Source organism: Homo sapiens, chromosome 20, assembly GCF_000001405.40.
Source record: "Homo sapiens chromosome 20, GRCh38.p14 Primary Assembly".
Classification (NCBI taxonomy): Eukaryota; Metazoa; Chordata; class Mammalia; order Primates; family Hominidae; genus Homo; species Homo sapiens.
In genome coordinates, this window is record NC_000020.11 from 8,153,519 (window position 1) to 8,174,295 (window position 20,777).

General features: G+C 39.0%; 1 protein-coding gene across 2 annotated transcripts in view, besides 7 other annotated features; it reads left to right on the forward strand.

The window, feature by feature from the left end:
• PLCB1 (phospholipase C beta 1) overlaps positions 1-20,777 on the forward strand; it is a 752,635-nt gene that overhangs the window by 21,253 nt on the left and 710,605 nt on the right. The gene's annotated exons all lie outside the window — the stretch shown is intronic.
• Positions 1,899-2,043: an enhancer, noted in NCBI's record as "145 bp enhancer 45 fragment used in the MPRA reporter construct; PK_construct_620". NCBI's record gives its function as "activates an SV40 promoter by MPRA in HepG2 cells {active_cell/tissue: HepG2}" and the evidence as "EXISTENCE:reporter gene assay evidence [ECO:0000049][PMID:23512712]".
• Positions 1,899-2,083: a biological region, named in NCBI's record as "HNF1, HNF4 and FOXA motif-containing MPRA enhancers 45, 51 and 106/107".
• Positions 1,904-2,048: an enhancer, noted in NCBI's record as "145 bp enhancer 106/107 fragment used in the MPRA reporter construct; PK_construct_1017". NCBI's record gives its function as "activates an SV40 promoter by MPRA in HepG2 cells {active_cell/tissue: HepG2}" and the evidence as "EXISTENCE:reporter gene assay evidence [ECO:0000049][PMID:23512712]".
• Positions 1,939-2,083: an enhancer, noted in NCBI's record as "145 bp enhancer 51 fragment used in the MPRA reporter construct; PK_construct_1697". NCBI's record gives its function as "activates an SV40 promoter by MPRA in HepG2 cells {active_cell/tissue: HepG2}" and the evidence as "EXISTENCE:reporter gene assay evidence [ECO:0000049][PMID:23512712]".
• Positions 1,965-1,978: a transcriptional cis regulatory region, noted in NCBI's record as "HNF1 motif; MPRA enhancer 45 activity is reduced when this motif is scrambled". NCBI's record gives its function as "necessary for full MPRA enhancer 45 activity {active_cell/tissue: HepG2}" and the evidence as "EXISTENCE:site-directed mutagenesis evidence [ECO:0005528][PMID:23512712]".
• Positions 1,971-1,982: a transcriptional cis regulatory region, noted in NCBI's record as "FOXA motif; MPRA enhancer 106/107 activity is reduced when this motif is scrambled". NCBI's record gives its function as "necessary for full MPRA enhancer 106/107 activity {active_cell/tissue: HepG2}" and the evidence as "EXISTENCE:site-directed mutagenesis evidence [ECO:0005528][PMID:23512712]".
• Positions 2,005-2,018: a transcriptional cis regulatory region, noted in NCBI's record as "HNF4 motif; MPRA enhancer 51 activity is reduced when this motif is scrambled". NCBI's record gives its function as "necessary for full MPRA enhancer 51 activity {active_cell/tissue: HepG2}" and the evidence as "EXISTENCE:site-directed mutagenesis evidence [ECO:0005528][PMID:23512712]".

A 20,777-nucleotide genomic window follows, 5' to 3' on the forward strand; every position in this document is an offset into this window, starting at 1 on the left:
CACAGGAAGTGTTAGCTGTGAAAACCATGTGAACTATAAGAATCTGCTCCACCGGTTTTGAAAGAAAGGCTAAAGAAGAAAAAAGTGTCAATGTTAAAGAGCTAACCAAAACCTATCCTGCTAGAATATGAAAAAAATTAGACCTTTGCCTTGCAACCTGATGCCCTGCTTCTGTGCCAAGGTTGGTGTAAAAATAAAACTAGTCACCACTAGTTCAGATCCAAGAAGTTCAATATAGTTCAGTAAACCCTTCCTTGTCTTCATAAAACTGGAGCTTGGGGGAAGGGAAAAGGAACACATCATTAAATTTGAAAAGGAATGGGAGGAAGAACACACGGTTTGCATGAAGAACTCCCATTACTTTCTTTTTTGTTACAAATTTTATTTGTTTTTAATATTGTGGATAATATACAAATATCTTTTTATCTGTAAAATAGTAAAGCAATGTAACTATCTTTAAACTGCACTCTCCCATTGACTCCAATCCTAGTTCTCTATTCAGAGTCAACTAATAGTAATAGCTTCATGGTTTCTTCCTAGGTCTCTTTTAAATAAATTTGTGCATGTGTAACTATGGAAATATTTCATTTTGTTTTGCTTATGTCCATTTTTATACTAAGTCACATCATATTAACCATTCTACAATTTCCTTTTTACCATATAGTGTGTCTCAGAGAACTTTTCAAGTTAGTACATGTGTGTCTATATCATTCCGTTAAATTGGCCTATCTTAGGGAATTTTTCATGTTAGTACATGTGTATGTATCACATTCTTTCATATTGCTCTATCGTATGTTAAACAATTGATTACCACATTTTATTTAAGAATACAGAAGTTCTCACTGGTGGATTCTTGGTGTTTGTCTCTAATTTGGGGTTACAAAGAATCCTATAATATGGAGTAATAGTCAGCTGTGTGTAGCCCTCTCTGGGAATATGGGTCAGGGATTCCCTAAGGTAAATGCTCAGAAGTGCGATTGCTGATTTAAGGCTATACCTATCCTAAATTATAATGAATGGCTGTACCATTTTATAACCCTACCTGTCTTATATGAGTGGAACTGTTTTCTTAAGCCCAACCAACAGTAATAGGAAATATTTTAATTTTTGCCTAACTGATGCAACTGTTATATCACCTTGTTTTAATCTGTCGTTGCCTGATTTGCTAGTAAACTGTGTATATTATCATACATTTATTGATCATTTCAGTTTTTCCTTACATGGATTGCCTATTTATATCTCTTGCCCTTGTGTGGACAGTTCTCTGTGTATTCTAGATGTACTCCTTTAGCTGTTATAAATGTTGCAATTACACTCTTCCTGTCTGTGGTTTGTCTTTGACTTTCTTAACATCTAATTTATGGGTAACAAAAGATGACTTGAAGCTTTAAGTTTTCATGTAGTTACATTCCAACTACCTCCCCACTTTTTGCTTCCTTTAAGATATTTCTGATTCCTTCTCATCACCGTTATTAATCTAGGTTTTTAATCCATATGTAATGTATTATGAGGACTGGTGTAAGGTGGAGCTCTAACTTCAATTTCTTCATATCACTCGTAGAGCTGACATTTCACTACCTGGTTTGGATGGCCCAAAGATCTGTTATGTTTTAATGCCTGTGGACTGCTGGGTTCTGATTTCCTACTTCATTCTTATCTCATTTATTTTCTGCCTTTCTTACTTTGTGGTTCAAAATTGTAATTCTTTTTGTTTACCCGTGATCCTATATTAGAGATTTAAATTTATACCTGCATATTTAGTCATTTCTGGAGACTTAGGGCAAGAAAGATTGGTTCTACCATTCATGCCATCTGCCATCTTGTTCTGCCCTGTGAATTTGCATGAGACACCATTCTGGATGTTTGTACAGAGTGATGATTCAGTTTCCATTAATGGCAACCATAGATAGTCTTCTCTTATGATAACCTTAAATTTCTACAGAGTTCAAAAGCAAAGTTTAAAAGTTAAATATTTACATAAGTCACAGTAACATTTTTCAGCATGAGTCCAGAGTTCAAAAATATTTTGAATGATGCATCATAAATGTCAACAAGAAAATCTAGTGATTTCCTATTAAAAATAGTCTGGCTTCCATAAAGAACTACTGGGTACCACACATTTCATTAATGATTTTTAGCAGTGGGGCTTTCTCTTTGGGATATGCTTCTCTAGGGTATCCCAAAATTGTCAACTTTGACCCTTCTTGTGTATAGTAAATGGGATAGGTCATTCAAGAGTCCACTGAGTGATTAAATGCAATGATGTAGTTATAAATTTAGAAGATAAGTGCTATTTATTTTATTTGGTAGCTTTCTCTAAAAGTTGAAACAATAACTTACATTATCTGGGAAAAAAACCAGCAAAATTCACGTGAGGATTGCTTTGTGAGGGCTGGGATTGTTCCTTGGCCTGGAGCAGTGTGTCAGTCATTGTTGACTAAGCAGCAGCATCTGGGGACTAAGTCCTTTCCTTCACCTTCCTTGAATTTCCTTCACCAGTATTGATGATATTAATAGCTAAAACAGACACAGTGCCATACCCACACCCTCTTCCTCACCACTCCTGAGAACATAAGCCGGGCTCCAGTGGCTGGCCAGTGCCTGCATTCTTTTGCTTTGTCTGGCTACTAGAACTCATGTTGCTACCCATGCAGCTGCCCAGAAGTTCCTGGCAATTCACACTCACCCTCACCAATGGGATTCAGTGGATAAATACCACAGCTCCCTCACCTCTTGGGTGGGATAACTTAAAGGTGCATTCTTTATATTATATCCCAGAACTCTCTAGTGGGATTAAGCCCAGTTACCCACAGTGGCAACTGGCTTGAAAATGTTCCCCTTATGGGCTTCCTTCCCTTCCTGTCTCACTTCTCCACTCCTGATTGTGTTCTAAAACCACCTCTAAAATAAACTACTTTTACTAGAATCCTTATCTAGGAACTGCTTAATGCAGATGCATAGTGCTTAACAACTTAATATAGATGCCCCCAAATGAAGGGTTTTAAAATGATTCCTTGGTTAAGAGAGATTGGAACATATTAAGTGAACACTTTTATTTGAAGCCAAGTCTGATTTTCCTAAAACAGTCCTAATTTGGGAAGCCCAAAGCTGGTTGAGGAAACCAGCTTTGAAGCTGTGACAGATGTGGTTTGTCACAGTCTGGCTCTGCTGTGTATTTAATGAGTCACCCTCAGTGAATCTCTTTAAAAATCAAAGCCTTGGTTTCATTATCTATAAGGTGGGTATTACTCTCTTAGTGTTGTTGTGAACATTCAATGTGTAAAATGAATGACTTAGCATAACACCTGCTACTTTGTAAACTCTCCATCCTTTGTGGTGGCTTTTATTATTGCTACATAATAAACAATGACTCTCTGACCAAACAATTGTCCATAAGTATTAGAGACCACAAAAATGTGCTGTTTTGAAAACCAAGTGACCATTTATTTATGTATATCTTTTTATTCCTTTTTTCTTCTTCAAGGCAACACTGACTTGTTTTCTATTTAGACTCTGCTGTGGTCTTTTGATCTGAAACATTGAAGCTTAGGTCTGTTTGGGCAAATAAGATGTTTATTTATGTATTTCATAATGTTGTGGGAACAGAGCCATGGAAGGCAAAAGAAGGATTTATTGTTTAAAAGACTTTCCCTCTGGGGATAATTTGCTAATAAATAGTCCATCATAGGTGAAAGTTTCTTGGACCCTTGGAAATTTGAAGCATCGTATGGAACAACTTTTAAGATGATTTAGAGGACTTTGATAGGAGAAAATTGTATTATTCACAAGAAAAATTGGACACAATCATGGTTGCCTATGCCTTTTTCCTAAGATAGTCACTTTAGGATTGTGACAACTACATGGGCATCAGGCCACTCCTCTTCCTCCCTACTGACCAAGACCTTAGAGATTAAACTTTTAGTGTTTTTGAGGATAGTTTAGCCACTAAGCCAAGGTTCAGATTGCTGAGGAACAAATCTATCCTCACCATATCAACTTCCAGGTTAAGTTTTTCCATTTTTATTAACATTACCTTCTTTTCACTTCTGTGACTCCTCAGAGATTTTGCACCAGTGAACTCTGGCTAGCATAGAATAGACATGTCATGATGCCTTAGCTTATGTAGACACAACATACAAATAAATGTTATTAGAATGGAATCATTTACAAGTTCTTCTTAGAGGATGTGATGTATGATTTTTTTGGTAGAATTTCTAATTGAAGTGTAGCCTTTTAAAGTATATTTTAAAATTAGGCTAGTCATTTTGAGATGGTTTCATTGCAGCTTCTTTGGAATCATTTTTAGAGTAGAAATGCATTAGTATAATTTTTATGTCACAATCACCACACTTCATTATGGGCATAACAACAGCAATGCTTGTTTTAATATATTGTAACCAGAGTTTAGAAACATGTAATACCACGAAAATTCATTACTCCTAATATAATTTAATTACAAAATTGTTCCTTGGTTTCATAAGTTGCATATATTTAGCTCTTCCCACTACTTTAGGAGAAATTAAATTGGATACTTTCCATGCTATGAAGCTATTATAATGGAATATTTGTACTTTTTGATGCCAAAAAATGGTTCGAGCCATTGGATTGGCAGAATATGTGAAGGAAATGCATTCTGCATATTGTTCATAATTTTACTTCCTGTTACGGAGAAAATTCCTTTGACTTTGTTACAAATAGAATCCCCGGGTACTTGGTATTGATATAATGCCATGCTCTTTTGTTTGAATTACAAATGTTGTAGGTAGAGTAGGCATTTTTGGTTGTTCTGTAGTTCATTTTCTTGCCAACTCAAGATTGTTGATGGTACTGATGGAGACATTATTGTATTAGTCCATTTTCATGCTGCTGATAAGACATACCTGAGACTGGGCAGTTTACAAAAGAAAGAGGTCTCACCCACAACATACGGGAAATCAAGCTGAGATTTGGGTAGGGACACAGCCAAACCATATCATTCTGCCCCTGGAGCTTCCCAAATCTCATGTCCTAATATTTCAAAACAAATCATGCCTTTCCAACAGTCCCCCAAAGTCTTAACTCATTTCAGCATTAACTCAAAAGTCCACAGTCCCAAGTCTAATCCGAGATAAAGCAATTCCCTTCTGCCTATGAGCCTGTAAAATCGAAAGCTAGTTACTTTCTAGATACAATGGAGGTATAGGCATTGGGTAAATAGAGCCATTCCAAATGGGAGAAATTGGCCAAAACAAAGGGGCTACAGGCCTCATGCAAGTCCAAAATCTAGCAGGGTAGTCAAATCTTAAAGCTCCAAAATGATCTCCTTTGACTCCGTGTCTCACATCCAGGTCACACTGATGCAAGAGATGGGCTCCCATGGCCTTGGGCAACTCCGCCCCTGTGGCTTTGCAGGGTACAGCCCCCTTCCTGGCTGCTTTCATGGGCTGGCATTGAGTGTCTGTGGCTTTTCCAGGGGCATGGTGCAAGTTGTAGGTGGATCTACCATTCTAGAGTCTGGAGGATGGTGGCCTTCTTCTCACAGCTCCACTAGGCAGTGCCCCAGTTGGGACTGGGGGCTCCAACCCCACATTTCCCTTCTGCACTGCCCTAGCCGAGACTCTCCATGAGAGCACCACCCCAGCAGCAAGCTTCTGCCTGGACATCCAGGTGTTTCCATACATCCTCTGAAATCTAGGCAGAGGTTCCCAAACCTCAATTCTTGACTTCTGTGCACCCACAGACTCAACACCATGTGGAAGCTGTCAAGGCTTGGTGCTTGCACTTTCTGAAGCCATGGCCCATGTTCTATATTGGCCCCTTTCAGACACAGCTAGAGTGGCAGGGATGTAGGGCACCAAGTCCCTAGGCTACACACAGCACAGGGACCCTTGTTCCAACCCACAAAACCATTTTTTCCTCCTAGGCCTCTGGGCCTATGATGGGAGGGGCTGCCATGAAGACATCTGACATGCCCTGGAGCCATTTTCCCCATTGTCTTGAGGATTAACATTTGGCTTCTTGTTACTTATGCAAATTTCTGCAGCCGGCTTGAACTTCTCCTCAGAAAATGGGATTTCCTTTTCTATTGCATTGTCAGGCTGCAAATTTTCTGAACTTTTATGCCCTGTTTCCCTTATAAAACTGAATATCTTTAACGGTACCCAAGCCACCTCTTGAATGCTTTGCTGGTTAGAAATTTCTTCCACCAGGCCGGGCGTGGTGGCTCATGCCTGCAATCCCAGCACTTTGGGAGGCTGAGTTGGGTGGATCACCTGAGGTTGGGAGTTCGGAACCAGCCTGACCAACATGGAGAAACCCCATCTCTACTAAAAACACAAAATTAGCCAGGCAGGGTGGCACATGCCTGTAATCCCAGCTACCTGGGAAGGCTGAGGCAGGTGAATCACTTGAACCTGGGAAGTGGAGGTTGCAGTGAGCCAAGATCGTGCCATTGTACTCCAGCCTGGGCAACAAGAGTGAAACTCCATCTCAAAAAAAAAAAAAAAAAAAAGAAAAAAAGAAATTTCTTCCACCAGATACCCTAAATCATCTCTCTCTAGTTCAAAGTTCTCTAAATCTCCAGGGCAGGGGAAAAATGCTGCCAGTCTCTTTGCTAAAACATAACAAGAGTGTCCTTTGCTCCAGTTCCCAATGAGTTCCTCATCTCCATCTGAGACCACCTCAGCCTGGACCTTATTGTTCATATCATTATCAGCATTTTTGTCAAAGCCATTCAACAAGTCTCTAGGAAGTTCCAAACTTTTCCACATTTTCCTGTCTCCTTCTGAGCCTTCCAAACTGTTCTAACCTCTGCTTTTTACCCAGTTCCAAAGTTGCTTCCCCATTTTTGGGTATCTTTTCAGCAACACCACACTACTGGTACAATTTACTGTATTAGGCCGTTTTCATGCCACTGATAAAGACATACCCAAGACTGGACAATTTATAAAAGAAAGAGGTATAATAGGATTACAGTTCCACGTGGCTGGGGAGGCCTCACAATCATAGTGGAAGGTGAGAGGCACGTCTCACATGGTGTCAGCCAAGAGAAAAGGGCTTCTACGGGAAACTCCCATTTTTAAAACCATTAGATCTTGTGAGACTTATTCACTATCATGAGAACAGCAGAGGAAAGACCTGCCCCCATGATTCCATTACCTCCCACCAGGTCCCTCCTACAACACGGGGGAATTCAAGATGAGATTTGGGTGGGGACACAGCCAAACCTATCACTTGTCAAGCTCTTTCTATATTTAATCAGCAAGACAAGTCTCTTTTTGTCTTTTGGGAAAATAAATTTAGATTGATAGTTGGATTATTTAAACATTTATCACACACACACAAAATATTAAAATAAATAATATAATTACTTTCTTCCACTTTAAAATATTTTAAATTTACTTTAAGTAATTTAAAAGGCAAAAATGCAAACTTTGAACAACTGACTTATTAGGACGTTGGTACCTATTATAAATAAGTTTCTCAAATCTAGCAAAGTATGTAATATTCACTAATTTACTTTGCACATACCTTTTTATCGTTGTTATCATTATCCTTGTTATCCTTAGCATCACCAACAGCAAACACATATATGCTGTTTTATCCTTGCCAGACACAATTCTAATAATATATAGTCTGTATATTTATAGCATATACATATTTTTATACATATATTTATATAGTATATGTAGCATAGGTATACTTATAGTCTATAATAGTATGTATATAGTGCATATATGCTACATATATACATACATAGTGTGTCTATATGCCGTGCTACATATATACATACATAGTGTGTGTATACTTACACATATATATAGTGTGTGTTAACAGACCTATGCAATTTCGTCATTTCCATAATCCTATGAATGACAGTGCTACTATTATCTACATTTAAAAGTGAGTAAACTGAAGTGTGAACAGAGGTTATGTCATGATCCCTGGTTGTACAGTTGGTTAATGGCAGAGTCAGGAATAGAAACAACAGTGGCAGTGCAGTCTGGCTCTATGTTCTGGCTCTTAACTTTTTGCTGTTTAAAGAACCTGTTTAATATGTAAAGTTAAGTTTGCCTGCAGGATTTTTTTCCTTGGATTTGTTTGAAAAAGAAACCTCAGTAGGCCTAGTACATTTGCTAGGAACAGACAAACTGTATGAAGAAGGTATTCTCAAGTTGGGCTGCACAATGAAATCACAGGGGGAGCCTCAAAGGACGCTGCTGCCTGGGCTTCCTGTCTCCAGAGAATCTGACTTAATTGGTCTGGGGTGTGGTCAGAACATTGGACTTTTTTTTTTTTTTTGAAAGCTCCTCATTTGATTCTAATGTACAGCCAAGGTGAACACAGATAGAAAGCAAGCTGACCTTACAAATTAATTCAGTAAACTTCCTGAAAGGATGTGCTCACTTTGCCTTTCCTGCCTGTGACGTGGCCTACTTTCTACTCAGAAGTAACACTCCACATGAGCAACTACAGGCCCTACCAGATTCTGAATTATTTGACTATGACTGGATAATATTCCTTACACTGTGCTTAGTAAGGCAATAAATTACTAGGATTTTTTTAGAATTAGTCTCAATATCTAAGGTTGAATCAAAATAGTTTTTTTATTATATTCTGTCGATGAAAATTTTTTTAACTTTCCATTCCCTGAATGTTACAGGTATTAGCTGTTTGTTTTATCGTTACCAAACATGTCCTCAGAATTCAAGTCCTGTTTATTAACCTTATATTTGTGTTTTTTGAGACCCTTGTTTAGATCACAGTACTGTGTAAATTCCATACTTAATTAAATTAGCTGCACCCTTGAATGAGTGAATGTGGTTTTAAGAATGACCTTATATAACTATTTTATTTTATAGCTAATTTTTCATTTCTGGGATACAAAGGCAGATGTTATCTTATTAAATTGTAGCATTATGTCATTTCTTATCAATTTGTAGGAATCCTTCCTTAACTGAGACATACACTCAACTGGGCAAACCAGAGAGAGCTAGATAATTTCAGGTGTGATAGGAAGTTTGCCTTTCATCACCTCTACATGATACATTTCAGAATAGTAAAATTCACATTTCTCCTGTTAGAATGTTTGGTTTTTTATTCTGCTTCTATAGGGAATGGGGATTGTGGTAATGATTTTTCATGAGATTTCTCCCTGGCATTGTGCAAAACTCCACTTAGGAACAGTGGTCTGAAAATTATATTGCATCACGGCAAACAATGCACCTGTGTGAAATGAATGCTTAAGTGAAAAGTTTTATGGGACAGAGCTAGTTGCTATGCTAAGAAACTAATGACTGTGCTGGTATACATAATGGATTCTATTTTTAGATGAACACTTGGTCCTATAGCATGGCTTCATTATGCAAGAGGACAGAAGTTTCAGCGTTATATTGTGAATATTGAGACATTAACATATCAGAGTATATGCCTTCTTAGATACTAAAGTGACTTTTTCATATATTTTAACCCTGACATAGTTCATAACTAGAGGAAAAAAGTAAAGAACAAAAACAGAATTTCAAAATAATTTCAGGTTTCTGGTGTTTGTAGGTTGAGTTTTTCCAACAGTTGACTGCAAGGAAAGGATTCAAGTTCAAGTGGTTTATTTGGGAGGTGACCCCAGAAAGTGTGGGCAGGGCCATGGGGAAGTGAGATAGGCAAGGGAAGACAGCCATTAAAGGGTGCACTATCAAATAAGTTACCATGGTGTACAAGTGAAGCTCCGTCCCATTGGAGAGCCCTGGGAGACAGTGCAGAGAGGAGAGGGAGCAGTGGTATACCCACCAGTTCCTAATAATCAGTGACTGGGGGCAGCTCTCTCAGGGGTTATTTTCTCAGCTCTTCTGCCAGCCTCTCCTGGAGACTGAGGGGCTTCCAGGCCAGTGGGCCCTAGGCTTTGAGAAATCCCTCAGACATAGATGCAGCTGGAAGCTGTCCGTTGGCATACATGAAAACACATGGGCACCACCAGCAGCAACCACTCTGGTGGCTTTAATTTCTGGTAAGTCAGACTTTTAAAATCTATATCGCAGTGTGCAAACTGGAGCCTGCACCCATTCACGAACAGTTCTTGCTTGGCCTGTGCAAATAATTAAATACATAAACATGAGTTGCCAGCATTTAAAAATCTGCAGGTTCATATACAGATCTGGATTTCTCAAAAAATCAGAAGGCATGGAAATGCCGGCCGACATACCCCCATGGCCACATTTGGCTGGGGCAGTGCAGCAGCTGCCTGCTTTAGACAGGGTGTGTGGTATGCAATCTGCCACATTTCCCACCAGGCTAGCCTACCTAATTTACATGAACTTTTAAGCTCATTTAGATGTTTGAGTATAAATATCGGGCCTCTATGGTAACATCCTATACTGGAAGCTTCAATAAGCTAATGATTGCAAAGCTTCATATGGAATGAGGTTAATTCTGTCACAGTGGGCCTATTGGAGTGCTGTGGCATAAAGACTAGATTTTTACAGTGGAAAAATGGCTGAAGATCAGCATATCCAGGTCTTGCTCGTAATGGCCATAAGCAAAGCAATTATGCTCCAATCCCAATTCTTCTCTGTGATGTATGGATCTAAAGTGTAGGAGCCCTGAGGTCCCTCTCTGACTTAAAAGGCTATTATTCCAAAGTGACTTTCAGGTGTCATTTTGCTAGGTAAGATTTATAAATATGAGTCCTTGGCAAAGGATTTTCGTGTCGAATTGGGCCATTAATCTAGGGAAAATAAGAATGGTGGACTCCAGGACACCAGGCAGAATGACTTCCCTTGGTTCCCTTGGTTGAATGAATGGGATTAACTTCACCCCCAGATCAAGGCAGTGAGCATTGACTGGTTTAGCCAACCAATGTAGTCCACCCTTTTCTCACCGTAGAGCTGTGCTGTCTCATACAGTAGCCTCTAGACTCATGTCACTGTTTACAGTTAAGTTTTAATTAATTAAAATTAAATTAAAAATTCAGTTTCTCAATCCCACTACCTACCTTTCAGGTGCTCACTAGCCACCTGTGTCCAGGTGCCATTTCCATCATTGCAGAATATGTTATTGGACATCACTGCACAGAGCTTGGATCAGGAATGGCTCTTCAGAGCCAATGCAAAGTTTCTTGCAATAAGAAGCTTCCTTGAACTTGTGGGGAAAGAAACTTTCCTTCTTTTTCTGGATTATGTGCTGCAAGGATGTAATATCTGGACTCACTTTTGTTATCTTGTTCCCATGAAAGAAGATATTGGAGTAGCTCAGATGCCACTTTGGGAGCTCAAAGGGGAAGCTAGCCCTGCAGAAGACAAGCCAGTGAAGAACCAAGTCCTTAATGATGTCATTTGAGATACCAGATCAGTCCATTTCAGTTCCATGAATGAATCAATCCCCTTCATAGGCTATGCCAGTTTAAGATAGAGTGTTTGTCCCTTTGCAGTTAGAATTACTGACTGACACATTGGACAATCATTTATTTGAAGGAAGGCAGAGACTCAGGTGTTAAGGATCCAGCTAACATCTGGCCCATAAACTTGAAAGAGAAATAAAAGCGGGAATAGAATGTGTTAACTCTGTCAGTGGCTATCATTCCCTGTACAAGACATTATTGTTAGTTTTGTATAGTTTTCTAATCTGGGCTTTAACATTTCAAGGATAATTTTAGTGGCTTCTAGCCATCATGAGGAAAGAACATGTCTTGAGAAACATGGGGAAAATTGAAAACTGTACAGAGAATATAAGTTTTTGGCAATGTTGTATGTTAACCTAATAGCCTTAATGGTACCATGATAATTTCTGGGTAAGGAAAGTAGAACTTATTAATAAACTGTTGTGCTGCAGACATTGTGCCAAGGTACCTTATGTGGACAAACTATCACATGAATTCATGAATTGATTGATTTTTTTCCATTTTGCATTGAGGAAACTGAGGCTATGGAGAGGGTGATTTTTACCCTGGAAGACTCTCTCTAACCCTGCCAATTTAGAATGAAACCCTCTCTTCTGTTCTTCTGGAATACCTTGTGCCTTCCTTTACCTTAGCACTATTAATGCTATGTTGATTCTGTCTGACTCTTTTTCCTTTCCCAGTGGATGATGAAGGCCTTGAATTCGGGGACTTTACCTCATTTGTTTGGCATTTTGAATACACTGCTAACATACAGTCACTGCTCAATCGATGTGTGTCAAATGAATGAGACTTACAAAGGCTGTGCATCTTGTCTAAGGTTACAGGTTACTAAATGGTGGAAAGCCAGATCTGTCAGGTCCAAAGCCAATGACCTTTCAGTAGTTCATTCATTAAAACCCTCTCCTTCTTGTTTAAATCTCCAGCTGTCTTACTCTTAGCAGTTTATGTGACCTCTGCCTCCTGGAGAAGAGAGAAAACACAGTATTCCCTGCCACCAGACCTAATAGCACACTTTCATTTACAGCTGCTTTCCTCTGTCTCCCTCTTCCTTTCCCAGCCCATCCTTTCCACTTTGACCCTGGACCCTAGCTTCTCAATGATTTCATACTAAAATTGATCCCTTCCCTTTCTTATGTTGTCAATATTTCCCCTGTAACCAGATCTGTACATCAATATTAAACATGACATGCTTACCCATCTTAAAAGAAAACCCTATATCCCCTCTTGACCCTCACTGGCTACTTCCTTTCTTTCTCGCTTTCACTCATAGCAAGCTTCTTCAAAGACCTGCCTATGCTCTCCCCATTATTCTCACCTTTCACCAACTTTTCAATACATATCAACCTGGATTCTGTACCCACTACTCCTCCAAATTAGTCTTTCTTAACCCATCAATGACCTTCACATTTTAAAACATGCTGGCCATCTTGAGCTCTGTGGTGCTTGATTATTTTTATATAATTTTACATTGTTGATAACCCCATTTTCCTCGAAACACTTTCTTTTCTTGACTTTCTTTTTCTCCTACCTCTTCCTACCTCTCCAGCCACATGTTCGCAATCTACTTTACTGGCTGTAAGTTGCAGTCCTTCTCTACTCACATGTTAGGGAATCTCACCTGCACTTAAAACTTATTTTACCATCTGGATACATTGGCTCCCAATTTCATATCACCTTCCAATACCCTGTTCCTGAGATACCGGAAAGCAAACATTTCCAAGATTGGTATCATGTTCTTCCTCCCTTAAATCCTGACCTGGTCCTGGTGCCTTATTAAAGGTACCACCCTTCACAGAGTGGCACAGTCCTGAACCCTGAAAGTCTTCCTTAACACCTTCTTTTCCACCTTCCCTCCAAGTTCTTGGCCCCTTTCCTTTTGTGCTCCGTCCACAATAGCCGCCTTCTGTTTCCCTAGACACGGCATATTTCTTTCTGCTGAAATTTTTCACAATACTTTTCCTCTGCTTGGAACACATGTTTTCTCCCCATGGATTAGCCCCTCCCCTGCTTCACCACACTTCTCACAGTTGTAATCAAATGTTTTTTACATAGTTATGTAATATCTAGCTCCCGTATTAGGTTTTTGACTCAATGAGAGCAGAGTCCAGAGGTGTCCTTGTCCGTGTTTAAGACCTGGCTCTCTTAATGGGGAAAGTAACTTGTAGCATTCGCCAATTTCCATGGTGTAAATACTGTAGTGTCTGATTTCGAGATATGGATACTTCATCACTGAACACAGATTTGGAAAGTGAAGGGTACAGTTGGCTCTCATAAGCTTACAAGCTTTCCCCAGCTCACCCCCAGGGCAGATGCTTGTCTGTCTTATTGACTGCTGTATTTTCATGAGTTAGGGCAGTGCTTGGCACATTGTAGGAACTCCAAGACTATTAGTTGGAGGAGTGACTGCAGTGTTTTTATTACCATTGGAAATATAGTAAAAAGTGCTGATGTTTCAGAGAAAAATGAAATAATTTTTTAAATTTTAGAATTGGACCCAGCCTGAAAGTTTATCATATGCCATCCCTTTGTTTTTCTTCATTAGAATTGAGGGTCAGGAAGTGAGATCTGCCACAATCACATAGCTACCTGGTAAATGAGCCCAGGTTAAAATGCACATCTTTTAATTACCGACCAACACTCCTTCTACTGTAGTGCATTATCACTTCTAAAAGGAAAGTAATTTCTTTCCACTAGTGATTTAGTTCAGATTGCATTATTAGATAGTGACGTAGTTGAATGTATAATTAAATCTGCTTTACAAAAGAAAAAGCAGTATTTTATCATTTCTTTTTAAATTATGAGTTGTCTCTTAAGAGGGATTTCTCTTTTATCTTTTTCTTCTTTAATATTCTGATGTACTTATTTATAGAACAAAGACATTAGTCAGCTTTTGTGGTGTAGCAAACCACCCCAAAACTTATGCCTTAAAACAACAACCATTTTTTTGAGGTCACCCTTCTTTGGGTTAACAATCTGGTGCAGGCTCTGGGGGATCATTTTTCTGGTCTCAGGTGGGCTCCTTCTGGCTTCTGCAGCTACTCATGGGTTGGATGTGTGGCTCTGCTGATATGGCTGGCCTCTCCTGTCTGAGGCTTCAGCTAGGATGGCTAGGCTGACTTGTATCTGTCCCATGTGGTCTCTCATCTTCCAACAGGCTAGTCCAGCTTGCTCTGGTAGTTCACTGGCAGAGTTCTGAAACAGGGTGGAAGCTGCAAAGCCCTAGAAGCAGAATTGCCATACTGGCACTTCTGCCACATTTTCTATGCCAAAGCAAATCATTCATAGGTTGGGGAAATAGATGCCACCTATTGATGACAAGATCTGAAAAGTCACACTGCAAAGAGGCATGGTTACAGTGAGAAGAATAATTTGTGACTGTTTTTGAATTACATACAAAAAAGTAATTTCTTCTTCAAATTAGTAGAAGATTGTCTCTCTGATGGGATAGAACTGACTGATAGCTTCCTCATCCTTCTGAAATATTAAGGCAATATGAAGTACCCCACCTGGACAATTGTGTTAATTATATATGCCCAATATTAGAGCACTTACGCTGCAGTGAGGTGGGTGTCTCTCACCATACCCTAGACTTGGAGGTCCCTGATAGGTGTTCTGAAAGAAGATCCCTGTAAGGTTATAGGGAAGTAAAGCCGCATCCCAACATGGTGCACAGACAGCAGCCTCCTAGCAACATCTCTTAAAGCAGATGGTGTTTTCAGACATATTGAGGAATGAGGTGGGTTGGGAGCAGTTGCAACAAGATAGGGAAACCTTAAGTCATCTTTGAGGATACTAGTTTGTTGTGCTATTTTTTTTCTTCCTAAATGATTTGGAAGTGATTTTTCTGTGCCTGATGTAGTCTTTTTTTTTTTTCCCTTTCTTTGTATCCTGTGTTGGGAAATGGAAATAATTCAAAATCTGTAAAAACACTGGGAAAATGGAAATTAAACTTTGGGATTCTTTACTGCAGAAAAATGATGATGGGAAATGTTCTTCAGTAGAGAGGTAGAAATCATTTCAGACCGCTTCTCCTAGCCGGGGCCCACAACATGCATTTTTCTGGGATGAAAACACATGAGTTTGACCAAGGAAAAGTTTGGTAGATTTTGTCAATGAAGCATGAAAAGGGATCAGTCTTTACTCTGAGCTCATCTTTTTTTTTTAGCTGAGTGTGCTCTTGGAAGATGCAGGCATCAGTGTATTTATATCTGGGTCAACAGGGCATGCGGTGAAGGGGAAGGAAGGCCATTACCTAGTGAATGTATATTGGGTGGGGAGCCACTGAGGTTAAAAAATTCAGCCTACTGCCATCTCTTTACTTTGGGCTGTATGGAAGTTGTTCATGACCTCCATAATTGTTCTTTTGTAGGATACCCTGTATCAGATTATAGACTCTGAAATCCAACTCCCAGGGTTCAAAACCTGCCTTGAACACTATGTATCTCTGAGGAAGACATTTAACTCATTCTGAGCTTCCATTTTCTCTTCTACAAACTAGAAATAATAAATAGGAATCCCATGAGGATTAAATGAGATAACACATCTGAAACACTTGGCACAACACACATGCTGATAGGTGCTTCACAACTGCTACTGATTTTTAGGATAAATTTTAGTAAATTTTAATATATATTGTGTGAATCTGAACTAGGACAGGTATTCGGATACTTCTGATTCATATTCTGAGTCTTTTTGCACCCAATTGGTTGAAACATCAGGGCCCCCAAGGAATGCCAGTGTCTCAGGTTGCAGATAATACTGCCAAGTTGCAGATAAATCCCTGATTGGACAACTATCTAAGAGTTAGTAGATCCACTCAGACTCCCAGGAACTTGGAGTGCAGTTTTCGATGCCTGAATTCAGAGAGGACAGGGTGCGTGGTGCATGTGGCCTAGTCTACAATTGCTTCTGGCCTATTGAATCTTAGGAATGGAAGGCTGAAGGGGAGAAGATAGTTTGTCATCAAAACTAAGGTTCTGGACAAATTTGGAGGGCTCAGTTGCTGGGCTGGCCCTGGAGAATGAGACTGAATTCTCGACCCTTTGAAAACAGGTGCCATGTTTGATTTCTTTTTGTGTCAGCAATGCATCTTCTATTAAAAGAATGGCATTAGGGTCTCAGTCAAGATGGCCTGAGGCATTCAGTTAAGGGTACACTGATATATTCCTCCTGCTGGTCAGTGTCAAGATTCTGCTCCTGTTCTCTTTCATCCCTGTGTACCCATCTTAGATATTTTTGAGTGCCCATGATGTGCTCTTTGTTGTAGTATCTGAGATCTCTAGTTGGGGAAACCTACCAAAGTAATAAACTATTCTATCCATTGTTAGGACAAATAGGAAAATCTTACTGACTCTAGGAGAAAATAGCAGGTATTTCTTTCTTTCTTTTTTTTTAAATAGACTATTTCAAATCCTAAAGTAGTTTTACTTGATATTTACAGAGCACATGTCATAAACTCTATTTAAAAACAGAGGTAAAAAGGGGGAAGCACTGAAAAATATAACTCGAGTAATCAGTTTCATTCAAAATGTAAGTGGGAGAATCAGAATAGAAAATAATATGATTTGCAGATTTATTTTAAATCAGATCTAAATTTTTAGATTTGCAAGGTCTGAGTGAAAAAAAAGAGTGTCATTGCTTAGAACTTCTTAGGAAAACAAATCAATAAATCTGTAGGAAATAGGCTGTGTGCTGAACCTTATTTGGTTTCTGCTTTTTGACCGAGAAGAAGCATATTATATTGAAAGGGTATATACTTGGTACATAGAAGGAAGGCGACCTTTAATCTCTGACTTTATATAAACATAAAAACCGTGAATAGAAAAGACTGAGCCTAGGAAGAAATAAAAAAGGAGCCCTGAATCTATGAGGCTGAGCCATATGAAACAGCCATAATTGTAGGCCAAAAATGGCCAAACACAGGCGGTTTCTCATAGGCCAACAATACAGTCGTTCTGAGAGAGCAACAGCATTACTTTTGCTTAGTTGACCATCTGATTATGACAGTTTAGAACCTCATATTGATGTGGCAAACATGAGTTAACTTCTCTATTGTTAATGGATATGATTTTATTCTAATTTAGATCTGATTTAAAATAAATCTGCAAATCACATTATTTTCTATTCTGATTCTCCCACTTACATTTTGAATGAAACTGATTACTCCAGTTATATTTTCGAGTGCTTCCCCCTTCTTACCTCTGATTTTAGATAGAGTTTATGACACATGCTCTGTAAATATCAAGTGAAGTTATTTTAGTATATGGTGCAACATTTTATAAATAACAAGAAAGAGTATGCTACTTTCAACAATATCATGTTTAATATACATAAAATATATAAGCATGTAAAATATATGTAACATATATACTTAAAATGCATATACATTATATACATTTAACTAAGTACAAATATAAATGTTGCCTAAGAGGTAAGCTTCAAATTGGAATTTGAGGGAAATAAGCTTCAAATTCATTTCTCATATATTCATCATTTTATTTGTTCATATGTTATGTTTTTTGTTGTTGTTGTATGGGAGAGGTACTGATTTAGGTTACTTCTTTTGTAGTAGAGGATGGTAGTTAAAAATACATACTCTGAACCCCATCTGCCTGGGTTTGAATCCCAGCTCTATCCCTTGTGAGCTGTGTGATTTTGAGTAAGTGACTTAAACTTTCTGCACCTCAGTTTTAATATATATGAAAAAAGGATAATATTAGTACTCCCTTAAGGTTGTGTTAGGGATTACATGAATTAATATAATGTGTTTGGATCAGTGCTTATGTTGGAAGCACTAGGTAAGTGTTTATTATTATTACTTCTCATTGTAGTCTCCTTTATGAAACGTGTGTGCATAGCCTGTCTGGAGGATGACTTTTTGTCTTTTAAAGAGAGAAGCTGTACTACTTCTACTGTACCAGAAATTCATCTGAGAGCAGGTTACTTTCTCATTGTAAAGTCCATGCAAGCCAGATAAACCTATAGGGTAGCACTTCCTTAATTAGTTTACAATTTCTGAGGATAGGTTGGTGGGAGTAAACTGCCTCTGAGTGTTCACTTCTCTGGGAACTGTCCCGTCTGTTGTTGCGTATCATATGTTCTAGTGCATTTTTTTTCAGTTATGTCCTTTCCCACAAAGCAGTTTGGTGTAACCACTGTAATCCCAGTAAGCTATGGTTGGGGTCTATGTATAGGAATGTGCACCCTGAAATTCATTCACTTATTCAGCACAATTTTATTGAGCATCTACTAAGTGTTAGGCACTCTCTGTGTCAGATATATTATAGATAATATACAACTACCTAAATGCATAGTAAGCAAGATATTGTACCATTGAGAGTAGTAAGAGTGATGAGAAGAGTTCAGGGAGGGAGTAGTGGTAACTGTTTTACATAGGTACTCAAGAAAGGAATCTCTGATAAGCTGATCTTTGAGCAGAGATTTAAAGGCCGTGAGGGATAAGCCATGTGGTTGGTTATCTGGAGGAAGAATGTCCTAAGCAAAAGAATTGGTAAATGTGAAGGTATGTGACTTCTGGGATAGTTTGACAAACAGTTCAAGAGGCCAATTGGCTGGAGCATAGTAAATGGGGATTGGGATCAGTAGTAGGAGGTGAGGTCAGAGAGATTGCTGAAGACAAGGGCGAATTATATTAGGTTTTTACAACCATTGTAAGGGCTTTGGCTTTTCTCTGCATGAAATTCAAAGATGTTATAAAGTTTTAAATACAGATGTGATGTGATTGGACTTGTGTTTTTTAAAAAAGGATCACTGAGACTTCTGATCTATACAAGATGGCCAGATTAGATATTGGACCTGAACATTTTTCTTTGTTCTTCTTCCCTAAGTACAACTATACATCCCAGACATAATGTGAGAGGCAACCAGCAGAGGACTCTGAAAGGTGCTAAGAGGAAGGCAGACTGGTTTCTGGCATCAGGACCAGAGAAGCAGCATGGGGCAGGGTATCTTATGTTTCCCCCAGCCAGTAAAAGAAGGTGATCAGGACCAGCATTTTACAACCTGTGACCTAGCAACAGAAGGTGGTTCAGGAAAGCTCCTTCTTTTCATGGAGTCCATCCAGTGTCAACAGGGAAGCCCAGCACCATTGGCAAAGGGATCAGTCGGGAATTCAGTTATGGCTAGCCATACATGGGCAGGGTAAATGCTCTTCTTCCTGACCAGGCCTGGGACTTCTCCCTCTACCAAGAGATACAACACAGGGTCACCAGGTTGTACCAGCAAAAGGGGGCCCATGCCCATGACAACAAGCAGCCTGGCCTGGGATACCTCTTTCTCCATGGGTCTGAAACTCCTCTCTCCTGCCCAGAGACACTGAGACTGCTGAGTGACACCGGTAAGAGGTATTTCACTACAACAAGCGCTTGGCCCATGAAGCCTATTTGTCTCCATAGACCCAAGATGCTATTCTCTCACCAAGAGACACTGTAGGGTCAGACTGAAAAAAACCTGTCAGCCCTCTCAGGTACAGGGACCTCTGGAAGCCCCTCTCATATCATCTAAACCAAGCAGACCAAAATAACACAGCAAAGGTTCTGAAAATTAAACCATCGGTGGAATGACAACCCACAAAAGTAGACCAGAACTCATGTGATAAACTTAAACCAGGGTGACTACCTGCTAAAAGGAAAGATTTGAATAGAATTTAGTCTTCTAATATACAAAAATAAAACGTCCAGGATACAACTGAAAGTTGCTCATCATACTAAGAGCTGAGAAGATCATGGCTTGAGTCAGAAAAATTTAGTCAACCTCAAGATGGATCAGATTTTGGAATTATCTTACAAGAATTTTAAAGCAGCCACCATAAAAAATGTTTCAGCAGTCAAAAACAAATTATTTTGAAACAAGTGCAAAAATAGAAAACTTCAGCAAAAAAATAGAAGTTTTTAAAAAGAACCACATGTAAAGGATAAAACTGAAAAATACAATGGCCAAAATAAAAGAACACAATAGGTGGGTTCAATAGTAGAGTGGAAATGATAGAAGATAGTGTCAGTGAATTAAGGACACATTGGCAGAATGTACTCAATCTGAACAACAGAAGAGATAAAATAGATTTTAAAAATGAACTGAGCTCCGGGGACCTGTGGAACAATAACAAAATTTCTAAGATTTCTATCACTGGAGTTGCAGAAGAGACCCAGGGGAATTGGGCTGAGGAATATTTGAATAAATCATGGCTGAAAATGTCCCAAATTTGGCAGAAAAACACAACCTAAGAATCTGAGCGCACCTCAAACAGGATACACCTTAGCAAATCTACACCAAGATACATCATGTGTAAACTTCTGAAAACAAAGGCAAAGGAAAAAAATCTTCAAAGCAGACTAAGAGAAATGATGCATTAACTACAGAGAAGTACCAATTCAAATGATAGCAGTTT